The 19,352-nt window shown below is 41.0% G+C and overlaps 1 long non-coding RNA gene across 2 annotated transcripts in view, besides 1 other annotated feature; it reads right to left on the minus strand.

The window, feature by feature from the left end:
- Positions 1–19,352, minus strand: part of LOC107984782 (uncharacterized) — a 208,325-nt gene that overhangs the window by 47,814 nt on the left and 141,159 nt on the right. The gene's annotated exons all lie outside the window — the stretch shown is intronic.
- Positions 1,291–2,490: an enhancer, noted in NCBI's record as "CDK7 strongly-dependent group 2 enhancer chr15:61848165-61849364 (GRCh37/hg19 assembly coordinates)". NCBI's record gives its function as "activates an origin of replication core promoter dependent on BRD2, BRD4, P300/CBP, MED14 and CDK7 cofactors, with strong dependence on CDK7, by STARR-seq in HCT116 cells {active_cell/tissue: HCT116}" and the evidence as "EXISTENCE:reporter gene assay evidence [ECO:0000049][PMID:35650434]".

Here is a 19,352-nt window from a genome sequence, read left to right on the forward strand (position 1 = left end):
TTAGATGTGGCCTTGAATGAAGTGCAGTAGAGCTCACGAAACAGGCTTTCCAGACCACTGGGAAACCCAGCAGGGGGCTTCATGGTTAACCTATAGAAGGGATTAGGCATGGCAAACTGATTGGAAGAGGGGTCTAAGAAATTAATGTTGAAGTTGCATTTCCCAGCAAGCCCATTATTCTTCCTCAGGTTGCAAAACACAGATCAATAACAGCAAAACCTCCAGAAAAACCATCATTTACACTCCACATAGGATAAAGAAATGGTCAATAGTCATACTCAATTATATACATTTTTAAAAATTTAGGTGGCCTCACTGAAGTCAGCTTCTACTGCATTCACTTAAAGAAGAAATGAGCTGCTCTTACCTGAAAAAGCAAGGTTCTTAACCTCTAGCTTCCCTCTTCTTGCCAACTCCTCAAGGAAGAGACTCTCTTGGGGGCAGGGACCTCAGACAGAAACATGTACAGCTCTAGGAACCAGGAGTATTCAAACGCCTTGGTGCTGACCTGGCCTTTGAAGAGACTCCAAGGGGGGTCGCCTCTAACACAAAGCGCATCACACTGCCAGTGAGATTCTCAGAAAACATTCCCTTTCCTCCTAAGACATCTGAGGGAAATATTTTACAAATTGAAGTATGTTTTCCCAGAGGGGACCATTTCTTCATCTCATTTGATTATCCATGAGGTTTTAAGCACCACAGTTGAAAGGGGTTTCGCTAGAATAAATTTTTGAATCAAATGGCCATGAAATCCCAACGGGCCCCCAACTGCTTCCCTTTGGTAGCACACCATGAGCAACTGGAATTAAAATGGAACCAGAGAAGATAATCTATGCAAAGATGAAGCCAGCTGAAAGGTAAAAATAAATGAGAACAAATCAGCCACGCAGTAGAACATTCACAGCTCCAGGAAAATATCAATTAAAAGTATTAGCTGCAAATATTTCCTGAGGAACTAACACTAAAATCGCCCACTGTGTCTCTCTTACTATTTACCTAGGTGTTTTAATTTGCACCTTATGCAAAATGCTTTTCTTCATCGTTTTGGTTTCCCATTTGCTTTATTCCTCGCTAGGCAGAATAATGACTGGATGCTTTAAAACATATGGCTGTTTTGACAACTTAGAATAAAATAAGTGAGTTACATCTTTATCACTAAGAAACCCTATAATTTGGTAATTTGGCACTTAGCTACTTTCAGTGAGAAGTCAGCTTAACTGAGCATCAACCATGCCTCACACATTGTGCCAGGCATTGCGGTTAGAAAAATAATAAGGACGTAGTCCTGCTTCAAGGAGCTCACAGCCTGGAAGAGAATGTGGGTATGCAAACAAATTATAATAAGTCACCATAAGGGATACAGCAAAGGTAGTCTATGGAGGGAGGGAAATGAGTAACTCTGTCTGTGAAGAGTCTTTGAAGTTGTCTTCCAAGCCTGCTATTTGAAGGCTGACCAGTAATTCCCCAAGTAAACAGGGGCAGAAAGGCATTCCAGACAGAGGAAATGCATGTGGGGAAAGGGTCAGGAATGTTGACAGCATGATGCATTTCAGAGACCACAAGAATTTAGATATTGTAGGACTATCAGGTGCAAGGTAGAAGAGGAATATGAAAGCAGCAAGCAGAGGCCAGATCATAAGGAACTGTGTCTGCCATGCCAACGAGTTCAGACCTCACTAGTCGGTAATGGGGTTGCCAGGGCAAGGGTTCTAAGCAAAAGACAGACTAAATTATCTTTCTATTTTAGAAAGATAACTTTGTCAGCTTAGGGAATGCCAGAGCCTGAACTAAAGCCTATGGCAGACGGAACAGGAAGAAGATGATTCACCGAAGAGATATCAGAGAAATGCAACCAACCTATGTGGTACCCTGGAAGAAGGAGAAACTGAAAGTTGGATAAGTCTCAAGTTTCTAAATTAGGAGGCTTTGTGGTTGATGATGCTACCAACGAGATGGAGAGACTACAGAAGAGACTTAAGGATGGAGGTAAGTGCTATGGTCTAAATATTTGTTCCCCCCACCTCCAAATTCATGGGTTGAAACCTAATCCCCAGTGTGATGATATTAAGAAGTGGAGCCTTTGGGAGGTGGCTAGGTCATGCAGGCAGAGCCCTTGTGAATGGAATTAGTGCCCTCATAAAAGTGGCCTGAAGCAGTTTGTTTGCCCCTCCCGCCAACTATGAGAAACCTGCCCTCATCAGACACCAAATCTTCTGATGCTTTGAACTTAGGCTTCGTAGCATCCAGAACTGTCAGAAACAAATTTTTGTTATTTATAAGTTACCTAGTCTAAGGGGTTTTCTTATAGCCGTTCTAATGAACTAAGACAGCCTGGAGGAGCATTATTCCATTTTGGATAAATTGAGTTTTCTATCTGGGTGGAGATGTCTGGGAAGTAGTTGTTTCAAACCCCATGGTGGAAACTCACCCAAGGAGAACAGGAGAGGAGCAGAAAACCAAAGTAGACCCTGGAAAATGCCACCTACCTGTCGTGACAAGCAGAGGATGCTGATGACAAGAGCAACGCGTCCAAATGAAGAATGAGTCCAGCACATGCTAGAGATCTTTAGATTCCTTAACTGTTTGAAGAGCCCTTTCCTCAAACAAAATCTCAGGTGAAGCCCAGCATGTAAAACAGAAGTTGAGCTGCTCTCCCTGAAGTAACTTCACCAACACTGAGCCCCTTCCTTACATCTTTAGCCAACAGTGTAAAGCCTCAGAAGCACAGGACTGAAGATACCATGAGAATTAGGGAGCGTGGATGCTCAACAGTAGAAGGCTTGAGGCACAGACCTCCCCCCAAAACTAGGTAAAGGAAATGAGAACTATATTGATGGGTGTCAACACAGAGTGCAGACTGTTTGCACCAGAGGACCATTTCCTTGCTTTCCACCGAAGACAGGGAGGTCCAGAGTTAGGTGGTTAGATTGGTAGTCAGGTTAAGTCTGGGCACAGTCTAGAGAGTGGCTGAGAGAGGATCAAGCTGCTAGTCCAGGAGTCTTACTACTGTATCCATTTCATTCCAATTTCCCTGGAACTCAACCTGGAGCTGAAACCGAAGCCCAAGGTAGAATGAGCAATTCCGTCATAAGCTCTTTGGAGGTGGAAGCTATGGGTTTGGACTTCTACATGGTGGGCTCCCTGAAAGAGCTTACTAAACACTTCCTGCATGAGTGGCAGAGTACATCTGAAAAAGACCTGGGCTTTCTCCGAAACTGTGCTGCTCTCCTTAGGACAGGGGACCTTCTGATCAAATAGAGTGTCTTCACTTACGCAGCATTATCCACCAGAATAGCTCCTTAAAGCAAGGTAGATGGCACTGGAGGAATTACTGAGACTCCTGCCTGTCAGATGGCAAAAACACTTATGGAAAGATTGTAGATGATTGTCACAATAGCATTTTAAAATGCTAACCTTCCCTACAGTCAATGGCTCCAAGAAAATCTCATGAGACTATCTGTGCCAAGGTGGCAAGATCAGGTACCAGGCTAGAATGGCAGCTAAATCTCTAAGCAAATAGAGGTGGTAGAAACAGGGCTGGAAGTGAGAGCTTAGAGCACGTCACTTCTGTCCCTTCCATGCCATCATGTGGCTTCTCAATGCTAAAATAACCTAGCGGGAGCCAGCCACAACTTAAAAATTCTTAGAAATAGGAGGTGAGCCTGAAAGATTTATTATGCAACAACCTCAAGGGCCAGTCTCAGACAGATACTGGAAGAGCAAGGAGGAGCAGGCAAGCAATTTGCCTTTTAATTTATCTTGCTCTTCTGGATGAAATTAACTTTTGGCTTGCTGCAGCACAATTTACCTCTAAGTTTGCCGCTGGAGAAGTTAGTGACATTGCTTGCTAAAGCTTTGCCACTATGCAGAGTTTTTTCCGACTGTTTCTCTTTTATACCAGGGGAGTGAAGATGAGGAGTTTGCTCCTTAGTCTGACTCAGAATCTCCCACTTGAATAAGTAATCTCAACCCAGATCATGGGACAACAAGACAGGGTAAATACACAACTCAGTTTTCTGTCCAAAGAAATCCAAGTCTCTTTCTTTTCCAAAGGTGAAATCAGAGGAGATTTAAATAGGCAAGGTGAAATTATCCAAATCCAATCTGGCTTGAGAGAAGAAATTCCACTTCCAATGTTCCCAAGCATCAAATGTGGATTTTAAGGATCAAATATAAAACAGACTAGCTAATGATTGCTCAATTTCCAAAACTCCTGGCAAGTAACACAGATGAGCCGATGTCCTCCTAATGCTGTTCTGGAATCCTGTTAGTGGAACAGAATGTCCCACAAGGTTCCACGAGTTTCTATATCTGCAACACAGGCACAAGTAATTTTCCCAGTATTCAGCTTTCTTTGTTCAATAGGAGCTGGTTTGGGAAGTGGTGTCTATAGGGGGTGCTTTTTGCTGGCTTTTTAAAATAAACAACTGACTGAAAGCCAAAAAAGAATCTCACAACCCACTACTGGAACAAGTCTCAGTGTGGATCTCAGGTTTTGGAGATGAACCACCAAGCAGACATTTTGGGGAAACCAAAGAACAGAGAAGGGTCAGGATACAACTTTCAGCCAACAAGTCACATTATTCGGCATGAGAGAGTACACACACAACTATCAGTAACCAGGGACAGATGTGGGTTAACCTCAGGATGTTCAGAAAAATCAAAGATGGAGAAGGATGCAGAAACATTTGGACTTTCTGCCTTCTAACTGAGGCATCCTTATCCAGCTGCCAGTTCTCAGGAGCAAGTGACACCAGGAATGCCTATAACCTGGATAAGTGCTCCCAGCCAGGCCAGCCTCAGGTACTGCATCTGAACTTGGCCTCAACAAGAAGGCTAAAGGGAAGGAATCTGATCACAGTGGCAGCATCGGGACTCTCTACCTGCTTGCCTCATCCCTGGAGCTACTCATTAAAGTCCTACTCCAGCTTCCAGAGGCTATAGAACAGTAAGTAGTCACAAGAGCCACCATCTCTTTGAGCACGATGCAGGCATTCTAGATGCAGTTGACCCTTACACAACACAGGTTCATACCGTGTGGGTTTGCTTACACTTTTTCTTTTATTTCAATAAAAGTTCCACCTATTTGCCTGCCTCTCCTGCCTCCCCTTCTATCTCTTTTCCACCTCTTCCATCTCTGGCACACCTGAGACAGTAAGACCAACCTCTCCTCTTTCTCCTCCTCCTCAGCCTACTCAATGTGAAGATGATGAGGATGATGATCTTTATGATGATCCACTTCCACTTAATGAATAGTAAATATATTTTCTTTCTCTTATGGTTTTCTTAATAACATTTTCTTTTCTCTAGCTTTGTTGTAAGAATAGCCTACAGGTCACCCGTGAACAATGTGGGGGTTAGGGGCACCACACTGCTGTGCCTTCAAAAATCCAACACTTAACCATGAATAAACTATCATTGACCAGAAGCCTTGTCAATAACATAAATAGTCAATCAACACATATTTCATATGTATTTGAAATGTATGAGTCCACAGGCACAGAGGTACTAAAACCTATTCTCAATTTTTAAAAGTTATATAGAAGCAGCAGTGGAAACTACTCATACCCCGCAAACACACACAGTTTCCTGGCCCCACACTCACGCTTGATGCTATGATCTTTCTTACCTCCAGGTGGGAGGATGCTGGCTCTTATTCCCATAGGCTGATTTCTTTTAGAGGGGGAAAATCCAGGCTCTGAGGCCAGGAGAGAAGGGGATGGACAGAAGTTCAGGTAGGTTCCCTTGGGGCTTAGAACTACGAACACTGATGAGGCCCCAGCTCAGCCCTGCTGTCAACCTATTGTCCCTAGAATCACTGCTTTGGACTGATGCCCTGGTCATCAGAAGGATCCTGCTGAAGTATAAGTATTTCCTTGGCACACTGTACTAACTCACGATCCTTAATCACTTACTCAATGGTTTGAAAGGCAGCATAGTATAGCTGTTCATGTGGGCCAGACTGAGTTCAAATCTTGACTCAACCACATACTAACTGTAATCTTGGCTTAGCTTCTCTGTACTTCTTTATCTGTTTCTTTATCTGTAAATGAGGATGCTAATGCAATAAAATAGTGCCTATAGCATAAGAAAGTTATGAAAAGTAATGGATCAAGTACCTATAAAGATCTTAAAACCATGAGTTTGCCATATTGAAACCACTTTACTTTTTGGCACTAAGGGCTACCAAATAAATTCCTAAAGACCCACCTCCAAGAAACTTAAATTCATCAAAGAGAAATGAGATAGGCACAACCATGTTAACATTCTAGGTCCAAAGTGGTAAGCACTGTAAGAGAAGTACAAGTAAATGTTAAGCGAGTTTTGAGAAGGAGTAATGTCTTCCAAAGTGTTGGAGCAGGGGCTGGGAAAACTTTGGAGAATGGAACCCAGCCTTAGAAAGTCATAGGTACTTTATACAGAGTTATGGAAAATTCGGGCACTTCACAAGAAAGAAGTGCATGATACAAGACAGAGGTAGAAGAACCTAGGTTTGTGTGAGGAAGAAAACATAATTTAGTTGGTCAGTGCAGAGTTGTTTTTTTTGTTTTTTTTGTTTGTTTAATGTGGTCACTATGATCTCTCATCTGGACTCCTGCAACGGTCTTCCAATCCTTCTCCCTGGTATCACTCTTGCCTGCCACAGAGCAGCCAGAGTGGTTTTGTTGACACAACCCAGATCCTATCTCTCCCTTCCACTAGCTTCTCATTGCGTTTGGAATAAAATTCAAATGCTGTACCTAGGCCTATGAGGCCCAGCTTGGTCTAGCCCCCTCCTCTCTCTTCAATTTCAATTCCCATGGTTTCTTTGGTCCTTTAAGTTCCAGCTGCACTGGCATGGTCTCTTTTTTGTTCCTCTGATATCTAAGCTCATTCCTGCTTAAAGTCTCTTCACTTACTCTTCCCTCAGCTCAGAATGTTTTTTTTGTTTTCAAATTTAAGTTCTGGGATGCATGTGCAGAACATGCAGGTTACATAGGTATACATGTATCATGGTGGTTTGCTGCACTCATCAACCCATCATCTAGGTTTTAAGCCCCGCATGCATTAGGTATTTGTCGTAATGCTCTCCCTCCCCTTGCGCCCCACCCCCAAACAGGCCCCAGTGTGTAATGTTCCCTTCCCTGTGTCCACGTGTTCCCACTGTTCAACTCTCACTTATGAGTGAGAATATGTGGTGTTTGGTTTTCTGTTCCTGTATTAGTTTGCTGAGAATGATGGTTTCCAGCCTCATCCATGTCCCTGCAGAGGACAGGAACTCATCCTTTTTTATGGATGCGTAGTCTTCCATGTTATATACATGCCACATTTTCTTTATCTATTCTATCACTGATGGGCATTTGGGTTGGTTCCAAGTCTTTGCTATTATGAATAATGCTGCAATAAGCATACATATTCATGTGTCTTTATAGTAGAATGATTTATAATCCTTTGGGCATATACCCAGTAATAGGGTTGCTGGGTCTAATAGTATTTCTGGTTCCAGATCCTTGAGGAATCACCCATCAGGCTAACAGCAGATCTCTCTGCAGATACCTTACAAGCCAGAAGACAGTGGGGGCCAATATTCAACATTCTTCAAGAAAATAATTTTTAACCCAGAATTTCATATGCAGGGGAGTTTTTAAAAATACCAATGCTTCAGCCTCACCCCCAGCCCCTTGATTCTGATTTAATGGGTCTCCATAGGGTTGGAGCATTTGTAAAGCTGTGGTTCTGTTGGCTAAAAGCCAGAGAGTAGACTAGAGAGGTACTTAGGAGTCAGCAATGGAAGGCCTTGAGGGTTGGGTGGGAGGGAGGAAAGGGGCCTGGGAGTCTCCCCAGGCTAAGGCTTAGATGACTGAGGACCAAGAGGGGCTGCTCAGTGAGACTCAGAGCAAAGATGAAAGCAGCACAAAATAAGGAATTGTGAGAGGGCTCTCGTGTCTTCCTTGATATCACATAAGAGATTCATCATCCATATTTGATGAGAATCATTGGTTTGGTGTTTTACCTCACCTGTGGACAAGGAGCCCCACATGGGTGATGCCTATATTCTAAGAAGCTTTCCTTGCCTTGGTTCTGAACCTGCCTCTCAGTCTCCTCTGAGTTATTTCCCTTCTGATCCCTACAGCTCTCTTCACGAGTTTCTCAGACAGTGCCCAGGGTTTGCATGGTTGGGCTTTGCCGGGCAGGTTCACGCTCATCTGCACCAATCCTTTCACGCATCTGCAGGCAGTTGATGCATCCCTTCTCTGCTTCAGTCTTTCCACTCCAAAGCTTCCTCCTTTCTAGTCAGCCTACCATCCCTTGAATGGTTCCCATGCTCTTTCTCTGCACCTTCTCCAGTTCTGCAGATGTGAGAGCCTGAAGTAGTATCCTGTATCCCAGGTGTGGAATCTGTGAGGTTCCAGGAACAACCATGATTCATTGAATAGAGACCTGCTCCTTTCTCAGTGAAACCCACCTTCTTCACTGGGAGCGGACCAGATTGCTGGATACATGAGCTTTTTTGCCCATTTTATTTAATATATACATATTACATATGTATATATGTATGTATGTATACACACACAGCATAATAATTTGTTCCAGCTTAAAACCAAGTGCCTATTACACTCGAAATGCAAAATATGACTATTTCAGATTAAAGGGGCTTATTCTGAACCAAGTGGAAGGATGTCCTGTCTTCAAGACATAAGAGGCTTTCTTTGATTTCATTTTCCTTGGTCCCCATCTATTCAAACACTGCTTAGCAAATGAAGTTCTGCAGAAGAGAAGGAGCTGGGACGGCGTCGCTGACATCCTCAAAGAACAGAGGAACATTTTTAGCACAAACACCGTCACACACATTTTCCACCGCCTCAATTAGATGACATGCACTGTACGAAAATGACACCTGCCATCTATTCTTAAGTACATCACAAAATACAGTGATTTTATACATAAATCTTTAACAGAGGAGGAACAATGCGACATAAGCTCAGCGTTCCTTTGTTTCCAATCACCCTGGGTGTGGCGGCCATAGGCACAAGGGCAGAAACACATTTGTTCCCACAGCCTTTGCTGCAAAGGAGACCGGGCGCCACAAACCCTTCCTGTACTCACCCAAGCCCTCTGCTTGTAAATGTTATTTTTTCCTTATTTCAAAATTATCAAAAGACCAATTGGTTCCAGGCAGCTCTTTCTGTATATTAATTTTTAATTGGAGAAATAGCAATTAGATGCTGCATTGATTGCCAGTTCCCGTAATCTTTTTTAATTTGAGATAACAATCTATTCAAAAAATGAGTTTGTCCCTAAAATATCTTTTCTTAATGGCAATGATAACTGAAGTTATATACAAAACCAGCAGAGCAGCCCACAGGGAAGGGGTCTAAATTATACATGGAATATTCTGCACCTGGTTTGTCAGTTACAACAAAAACTTTACCACATGTGCTCTAGGAAAATGGTCAATTTCATATGTCGTTTTTATTAATTTCATTTTTGAAACAACCAGATAATCTCTGAAGAGAAGATTTGCATGGTATTAAGCCTGCTTTTCTATACCCAAGAAACCTAAGATGTGTAGATAATAAAATTCTTATTTAGCTCCTTTCTGTAGACACTGGCAAAAGGCAGATAGTGAGGGAGAAAGAGGAATTAGAGAGGAATAGACTCCCTGATCTGGAGGAACTCCCAGTCTGGGGCTGAGCAGATAGGAATGCAAGTTCAATACATAGACCAGCACATCTCAAGTTTTTACCAGATCTTCCTGAGTAAGGAATGTTAAGGCCTCCAGGGGAGCCTCCAATAAATAATCACCTTCTTCTAGCCCAGTTCTAAACTGAACAATTTGAGAAAAACAGAAGCATCAAGGTGGAAGCCAAATATCACCTCTTTTATCACAGACACTAAGCAAGAGCCTCTGGCTTAGGGTGAGAGTCCATCAGACCAGCTAACTGAATCCCTGAAGTAGGAAGGTTTCAAGACATGACTGCCTGCCCAGAAAGGAATTGCATATGGAGGCGTAAGGGACCTCAGTTACTCTCTAGAAAGGAGGAGGGCACTCTCAAGAGAAAGAACAAAGGAGTTGCCATGCTGAACATGCTTAGTGACTCTTTCCACATTTACCAAGTTGAGATGCCCACTCCACCTCCCCAGGTGTGTGTGACAAAGCAGAGAAGAGGGGCTGCAAGTATGTATAGGAAAAATTGCTCCCCATGGAAACCAAGATCAGAGAAAATGGATTTTCCTCTAAAAAGGACAGGGAACTGGGGTCCAGAAAAGGTAACAAAGTGACTTGTTCCTACCCAGCATAATTTTTTGCTGTCTCATGTTTTATCTTAAAATTGCGTAAGATTTTTATATTCTGTTGCATAAGATTTCATGTAACATGGTTTTGGCCATGAGATATTTTACATTAGAGAAGTCTCTGAAATTGAGCACATCTGGGCTTGAATTCTGCCGTTCTGGTTTGGACAATTCTCTGTGCTTCAGTGTCCTTATCTGAAAAATGGGGATAACGACTGTCCATCCTTAGTAGAACATTAGAAAATGATTAGAAAAGATAAGTCAGAGAAAAGGCTCTGGCATGCAGTAAGAACTCAGTAATTATTACCTGAATTTATTTCCATTATTGTCTTCCAGGAAGATTTCCTTATTTCTGCTATGTGTCTCATGCATCCTGTCTGCTCACTGAGAACCCTGTGGTTCACATTTTCCAGCAAAAGAAACTTTGTTTTGCTACTCAACTGAACGTTCCTCTGAAAACAATATCCTTCCCTGCCTTCCATGCCCTACACCCTGCTCCCTCAATCATTCTTAGTCCATGTCTGCTGAAAGCCTGTGGTGCAAAGTGTTGGGGGTGGAGATGGAGAGGAGGAAAGAGGTAAAAAGATGAAATATACAGAACTCTGCCTCTCAAGAACTTCTGATCTGGAAAGAGTGATAAAACTTGTTTATCCACAAGGTATAGTTTATTCACAAGTTGTACAAGTAGCACAAATAGAAATTTATGATAATCTGGAGTGAGAACAGGGCCTAAAACCCTCCCTTCTCCATCCTACTCTGATCACTCAGGAGTAGGTCTCAATGCACTCACTGGAGACATAGTGTAAGGGGGTGACCACCCATGACTGAAGCTTACAAAATTAGGAAGAATATTGGTAAGAACAGATAAGTTTGCCAGAATTCATATGATAAATAACTAGCCTCCATTCATCTTGAAAGCTATAATTTGGGAGATGGGGGTGTATTCATTCATTCTCATACTGTTATAAAGAAATACCAGAGACTGGGTAATTTATAAGGAAAGGAGGTTTCATTGGCTCATGGTTCCACAAGCTGTAGATGAAGCATCTGCTTGACTTCTGGAGAGGACTCAGGAAACTTACAATCATGGTGGAAGGTGAAAGGGGAGCCAGTACTTGACATGGCTGGAGCAGGAGGAAGAGACAGAGTGGGGAGGTGCTACACACTTTTAAACAAGCAGATCTCCTGAGAACTCACTCACTATACAGTACCAAAGGTGCATGGTGCTAAACCATTCATGAGAACCCTGCCCCCATGATCCAATCACCTCCCACCAGGCCCCTTCTACAACACCGGGGATTATAATTAGACCTGAGATTTGGCAGGGACACAGATTCAAACCATATCTGGGGAAATTATACACAATTTATTGCTAAGGATAGTTGCCTCAGAAACATATGATCCACCAGGAGAGATAAAGTCTAAGATATCTATAATTTAAATATAAGATACATATAATTTCAATGGATACAAATCATTGATTATAATAGCTAATATATAAATACTGCACAGTTACTATAGTATTCAGCATTTGTCTTATATTATCTCACTTAAAAACTGAGATTCTCATAAAGTTTGGGATGAAAGAGGTGTGTCTTAAGTTGAGTTATCTGGGAAACAGTCTGAGGCAGAGATTTGTGGGTGGGACGTTTACTGAAGAGTGCTCGTAGGAATCACACCTGCAAGGCATGAGGAAGCAGGACTGGGCAAGGGGGAAGGTGAACCCAATTCAGTCACAACAAAGGTCTCAGCTGATTCCCACAAGGAGCTATGAAGCTGGGATAGCTCTTCAGAGACGTCCTCAGTGGAAGACAGGGGTCAGGACTCTGTATCCCTATATTACTAGCCATTGGATACTGGCTGCTCCTGAAGAAGGCAGGTGACTTGAACGAGGCAGCACCCTTTGGCAGATACTGATATCTGTTCGTATCAATCTTCTTCCTAATTTTATAATTTTACCTCTGCCAAAGGGTGCTGCTGCCTCATTCAAGTCACATGCCTTCTTAGGGAGCAGTCAGTATCCAGTGACTGGTAATGTAGGGCTACAGAATCCTGAAAGAGACTAAGCTGTGAGCTGTCAGCAGCCAATGCTCCCAGGAGTTGGGGAAATGGGTACCTCAGTCCTCAAGTGAGGATCCGAGTGACACACCACAGTATCCACTACAGGGAAAGAAGAATAAAAAGGAGGTAAATGTATTGAGCACCATCTACATTCCAAGCACTGTGGAGGACAATTTTCTTATTGCATTTAGTCCTGCTGTATAGACATCAGTGACTTATTTAAAGCTTCAGAGAGATTACAACATCCCTTCTTTCCTCTAACTTAGTCATTCTCAACAGGGAGTAATGTTTCCCCCAGAAGACACTTAGCAATATCTGGAGACATGTTTGCTTGTCAAAACGGGGAGTGGGGTGCTACTGGCATAAGTAGAGGCCAGGGATGCTGCTAAAAAGCCTATCATGCATAGGACAGGCCCCCATAGCATTTATCCAGCCCCAAATGCCCACAGTGCTGAGGTTGAGTGTGTTAGTCCATTTTGCATTGCTGTAAAGGAATACCTGAGACTGGGTAATTTATAAAGAAAAAAGGTTTATTTGGCTCACAGTTCTGCAGTCATACAAGCATGGCACCAACATCTGTTCAGCTTTTGATGAGGAAGCTTTTCCTTATGGAAGAAGATGAAGGGGACCAGGCATGTCACATGGCAAAAGAGGGGGCAAGAGAGATGCCATGCCCTTTAAAACAACCAGCTCTCATGTGAACTCGTAGTGCGAGAACTCACTCAATATTGCAGGGAGGGCACCAAGCCATTCATGAGGGATCCACCCCCAATGACAAAAACACCACCCACCAGGCCCCACCTCTAACTGTGGGAATCACATTTCAACATGAGATTTGGAGGGGACAAACAACCAAACTATATCATTGAGAAACTTCTCTCTAAACCCACAGAAAGAAAAACATATAGTTGGACCACAGTAATTGGTGGCTTTTCAATGGTGTGGCTCATTCCCTCGGCCTCTCCTACTCCTGGTTCCCTTGGAGTCTCTAGGCTTCTTGAAATTGTTGAGTGGAAGGGTTTGATCCACGTGCTTGGTACCATGAGATGGGCCTGGGGCTGCCTCACCTTTGGTACTTTTCCAGCTTGGCAGGACCAGGTGGGTCAGGCGAAAGGGGCCTAGGGATCTAGGGAGATGAGTTAGGCCAGTCTTGCTCTAGTCTCTAGCAATGGAGGAGGGTGCTCCATTCCTCTGCTTTATCTTTGTACCTCTTCTTGCTATTAGAGGAGTAAGACTCCAAAGGCTCAAATATGATGCCTGAGGGGGAAAGGGGTCTGAAGCTACATTTATTCTGGGTCTCCAACCAGAGAAGAAACTCACTCTGTTTGCAGGTTACCAGGGTAGAAGTCCACTTAGGGCTACGGTAGAAACATATCAACATACATTTTCCTGAAATGCTCCCACTGTTGATCATCAACAAACTTTTTAAGCTAATGAGGAAATCAGGATTGCAACCATCTCTACCTTTTCCATCAGAAAAATAACTAGGAATAGTCATTACTATCACCATGTTATAGGTTTAAAAAGGTTAGAAGGGTTAAGCCCTTTAACCATGGTCACACTGCTAGTCAACAGCAAGGCTGAAATTTATAACCACATCTTTCTGGATACAAGACCCATGCTCATTTATTTGGGGGACATATGTATTCCTTTTACCAAAGGGAATATCCACGTCTTACTATCTGTTCCTTGGTACCATAAACACAGCTAGAGTGGATGAACTTTGGGCTGGACCCAGGATCATAAGATTTCTATTCTTTTCTTAATTTGAAGTGTAATACCTCTGAGCTTTCCAACTTCTAAGGGAAGGCAAGAAATGAAAGACAGGCTGGGTGATTTATATAAAGTGATAATGTGAGCTCATCTCCTTGCGGCCATCATTTTAGTCTGCAATAAAAGTGACTGGTCTGACACCCTCCACTTCCTGAACATCCAGAAGGCCTAACTGCTTGGACTCCCAGACATAAAGCTCTCTGTTAATGGACCTGTCAATTTCTTAAAGTGAGCAGTTTTTCATAACACTCCATAAAACCAAAAAAATAAAAAATAAAATTAAAAAAGAACATAGCATTTAACATGAAAATATGAGTATCATTTATTGAGCATGAGCTAAAAGCAGCAGAAAAATGAACTGACAGATGAGCAGTGGTTGGTGATAGAAAAAGAAGGACTCAGGAAGGGGGTTCTTTACGTATTAAACAGGGCCCCTATTTTTAGCAAATTAAAAAAAAACAGACATTTATTATAAACTTCGAAGTAAAAAGCTTTATGTTATAATAACAATCTAGTATCCTTGTTATGATAGATTTACTAATCCCAATTTAGACTCTCAGAGATCAGATTCATGTCCCGTAAAACATATAGGGAATACATTACTGAGCAAATCTATAGCAATAGATTACATAAATATCTATGCCCTATTAAGTTTTCAGTTATAAACTATGGTTTATTTTTGAGCTGTTTTAATTCATGAAATTATTTACAAGTTTACAGACACCAAGAAACAAACTGGATATACTGTGTTATGCAAATGTTATTCCAAATATGGAAGTCATAAGAATAGACTGCATCTAGTGATCAACATATAATTATAAAGAATATTTCAGAGCTTCATTAATGGCAGCTGTTCACAAGATAGTTGGAAGTTTTCAATGATTTTATTACTTCTCTATAAATACAGCTGAACTTTACAAAGTTCATCCTCCTTTTACATTGTCCTATTGTCGTTTGTCCCCAAGGTTTAAGTTCATTCAAATGTAATTTAGAGTTTCTGTCTACATACTAAATAAAATCTGAGCATATAGAAGCTAACGTCAATATGATGGACTTGTCTTTTTGGAGAGGTAACGTAACACAATAAACAAGCACTAGAGTTTGAGTTAGTTGAGATGGTTAGAATCTCACTCTGATACAAACAAGCTGGGTGACCTTGAGCAACTCACTGGGTCCTACTGCGTCTGTCCCACATATGGAAATGGATGTCATCTCTGCCTTACCACTATCTTAGGTTTGTTATGAGGACACGGGAGATGGTTATATGAAAATACTTTGTCCCCTGAATGAAAAAAAAAAAGGACATCATGAGAAACACAATTATGTTTTTGGAGAACATTCCATTGACAGAGAAACAGCAATCAAGGGCAAACATTCTCCAACAAGAAGGTATTTTGGTTCTACATGCCTAGGGCTATCATAGAGTTATGAAAACATTTGAATGCCATAAAGCACTATTAAAATGGTATATAATAACAATAGCAAGAACAATATAGCAAGGAATCATTACTGAATCATGAAGCAGAAAAAATGCAGAACATCCAGTTACATTTGAATTTCAGACAAACTATGATTTCTTTTACTATAAGTATGCCTTGTATATTGCATGAAACATACTTACACTACAAATTACTCACTGTTTACTTGACATTCAAATTTAACTGGGCATTCTGGTTTGTTAGTTTGTTTTTGGGGAGGAAGAGGGCACTAAATCTGGCAATCCTAAAGGCAGAAAGGCTTTGAGAATTCTTTGTCCCCCTTCCCTGAGCATGACAAACCATCTCAATCATTCAGAGAATGTATTTCTTGCCTTATCTCGTTTTGCTCATCTCGAATATTAAGGGTTTCAAGGATATCTTCTTCTGACCACTCTTTTTATGTCTCCTTCAGCGCATGCACCACCATACATCGTTAGAATATTATCCTATAGATTCAATTATGAATTTGTCTCCCCAACTTAACAGTGAATCCATTGAGGGAGGGACTCATTCATTTTGAACACCCAATGCCTGATTCAACGCCTGGCACAAATTAGGTATTCTGAAAATATTTTATGAATTGAGGATTAGAGATTGTTTTTCTCATTCCACGCTCTCATTATGGAAAACCTTGCTCATATCTGCTACTTAAATGATGAACCAGTGTACAAGTCAATAATCCATGTCTCTCTGATCTGACCTTTCCCATTGACGTCCAGATCCATCACTCCAGTTGCAACAAACTATTGGCTGTCTCAACCTAGATTCCCATGGGCACCTCAAATGCAACATGTCCAAGGCTCGATGCATCATCTGCCCCTTCTTTGTTGGTGCCATATCCTGTAACCCAGGCCAGAAACCCAGAGTCCTTCTAGACTACTTTCTTTCCCTCATCACTAAGGCCTTTCATTAAAAACTTTTGAGGAGGTTTAGAAAGGAAAGTTCTGATTCAGTTGGTTTGGCCTGGGGCCAGGGAACAGGTGCTTTTTAAAAGTGCTTCATTTGATTCAGTGGTATTTAGAAATCAATGTCCTATAAAATATAGCAAAAGACCTACCAACAGCCTTTCTCTACAGGCTTCCTAATTCCATGTGAAACATGAAAATATCCCCATCTAATTTGTACTTATAATTGAGAACCTTATTAGATTTTGACATGAAATACTATTTTCATTCATGTATGGGAATGTTTTGAAAGTGTTCTTTGCATGCTAGATGTGATTTGGGATAACCACCCTCCCCAACCCCCTAGCACACACACTTCAACAAGTTATTTCTCATTACATAATGAAAATTGTTGCCAAAAAATTCAGTATTAAAAAGGCATGCTATAAGTAGCCCTTATTTGGTAAAATATTTGTTTTATTACAAGTTTTCCCACCTAGACTCAAAAAATACTACTCGTTAGAAACAAAGAAGATGGGAAAAATAAAGATTTTAGATTATTTGGAGCTATTCTCTCTCTCTCTCTCTCTCTCTCTCTCTCTCTCTCACACACACACACACACACACACACACACACATACACACACAGTTTGTCAACTGGGGATTTATGGTCCCCCCAACTTATCCATAATCTTGCTTGAAGTAAGCCCAGGCTAGAACTTAATTGTGAATACTCAACACACACTTTCATTTTTCCTTGGGAGAGTGTATGTGTCGAGGAATGTATCCATTTCTTCTAGATTTTCTAGTTTATTTGCGTAGAGGTGTTTGTAGTATTCTCTGATGGTAGTTTGTATTTCTGTGGGATCGGTGGTGATATCCCCTTTATCATTTTTTATTGTGTCTATTTGATTCTTCTCTTTTTCTTTATTAGTCCTGCTAGTGGTCTATCAATTTTGTTGATCCTTTCAAAAAACCAGCTCCTGGATTCATTGATTTTTTGAAGGGTTTTTTGTGTCTCTATTTCCTTCAGTTCTGCTCTGATTTTAGTTATTTCTTGCCTTCTGCTAGCTTTTGAATATGTTTGCTCTTGCTTTTCTAGTTCTTTTAATTGTGATGTTAGGGTGTCAATTTTGGATCTTTCCTGCTTTCTCTTGTAGGCATTTAGTGCTATAAATTTCCCTCTACACACTGCTTTTTCCATCCTTTTATTATAGATAGCAAAATAATTTAGATTTACCCCCAAACCTGCAATCTCTCATACAGAAATCGTAACTGAAAAATCTTGCAATCAGTGAAAAAAAATGTTTTTTCTAAACTTTTTAAATAAATGGTTTGCCCAGGGGTAAGACCTTTATACTGTCTTAGCCAAGAGCAAATTTCCCTAGACAAATTGGCTGGCTGCTTCTCGAATTCATCTCAGCTGAAATTCAGGCACTTTTATTATTGATATTATCTGACCATGTTTTTTTTTTTAGCCACATATTTTGTTTCACTGGAAGAAAATTAGATTATATTAGATTGTGTACAACACGGAGCTTCAAAACATCCACCCTGTCAAAATAATTTCTTAATTAGTTGTACAACATACTTTTTTTGAGACAGAACTTGTCAGAAAAACATCCTGCAGTGGGGAGCTTAAGTGAATTCATTCTCAGGATTTTAATAAGACTATATTTTGCCTTCTATATGTTGAGAGAAGAAAGTAATTGTCTGGCAATTCTTTGCTTCCTTGGAGACCTGCTTCAGATTTTTTTTTTTAAGTTTCAACTACTGTTTAGAAAGAAATTGCTTACGTTTTGGTTAATAAAATAAAAAATGCATTAGGTCATTAGATGTTAGGTTGGTGACAAGACTAATATAATAAGCTACTGAAAAGAAAATTAAACCCTCCTTCTCAAAACATTTGTCCATGAGTTTTTATAAAACAACTGATTAACTACAAGGGTCCAATTAAAGAATACACCATTCTTTATTGCAAAAGATTTTTAAACATTTTACCACTTGGTCTCTAAGTACTTTAGAGAGTTTGCTTCATCCACCAAAATTTATATTAAGCCCAATATATCAAAACGTTTTGGGTTTAGAAAACAGAGGATTTGAATTTTCAACCTCATTTAGTCATGGCATTTCTGAGTAATATTAAGAAAGCCACTGAACTTTTCCAGACCTCTTTTGATCCACCTGTAAAAGAGTTACAGAGTTCTCATGAGGAAGAAATATTGTCATAACTGTGGGCAAGCTTTAAAATTTCAAATGCAGTAACATCAGCAACCATTTACTTACTGGGTGTCTACTCTATGTAAGGCACCAGATTAGATGCTGTATTTTTAAACCTCATAAATGCAGTATGAACCAGGAATTCTTATCCACAGATTTTAAATGAGGAACTCAAGACTCAAATAGGTTAAGGCAAATTGCCCTGTGTCAAATACTTAAGCAGCAAGAAAACTAAGATTTGAACCTGTGTCCATGGGACCCAGGCCTGCCACTGCCACTTTCTGCTCCCTTCTCGTACTTTTATCCCTCAAAATTATGGCCTGTACTTTGATAGAGGGCAGAGGAAAGAGTCCACAGCTAACCCCGTTGGCTAGCACACATCAAGGGGTCATCGAAATAGCTTGCTCTTGAAAAATTCATGCCTTGGAGTGTTGCCAATCACCAGCATGAAGAGCAAACTGGAACTGGGGAGCTGGGCTCAGCTACTCAATCTCAATTCACAGAAAAGTTGTAAAATGGGACCCTTGGTTTTCAGCCTCAGGGTTTCCAAAGCCATAGATGGCACTCTTAAAAACAGAGGCAGTTCTTCTACTCATTATGATTCAATACAGTGGCCACATTGTAATTATATGTCTTGTTTGTCAATGCACATGTTTGATGA

The sequence above is a fragment of the Homo sapiens genome, chromosome 15, assembly GCF_000001405.40.
Source record: "Homo sapiens chromosome 15, GRCh38.p14 Primary Assembly".
NCBI lineage: Eukaryota > Metazoa > Chordata > Mammalia > Primates > Hominidae > Homo > Homo sapiens.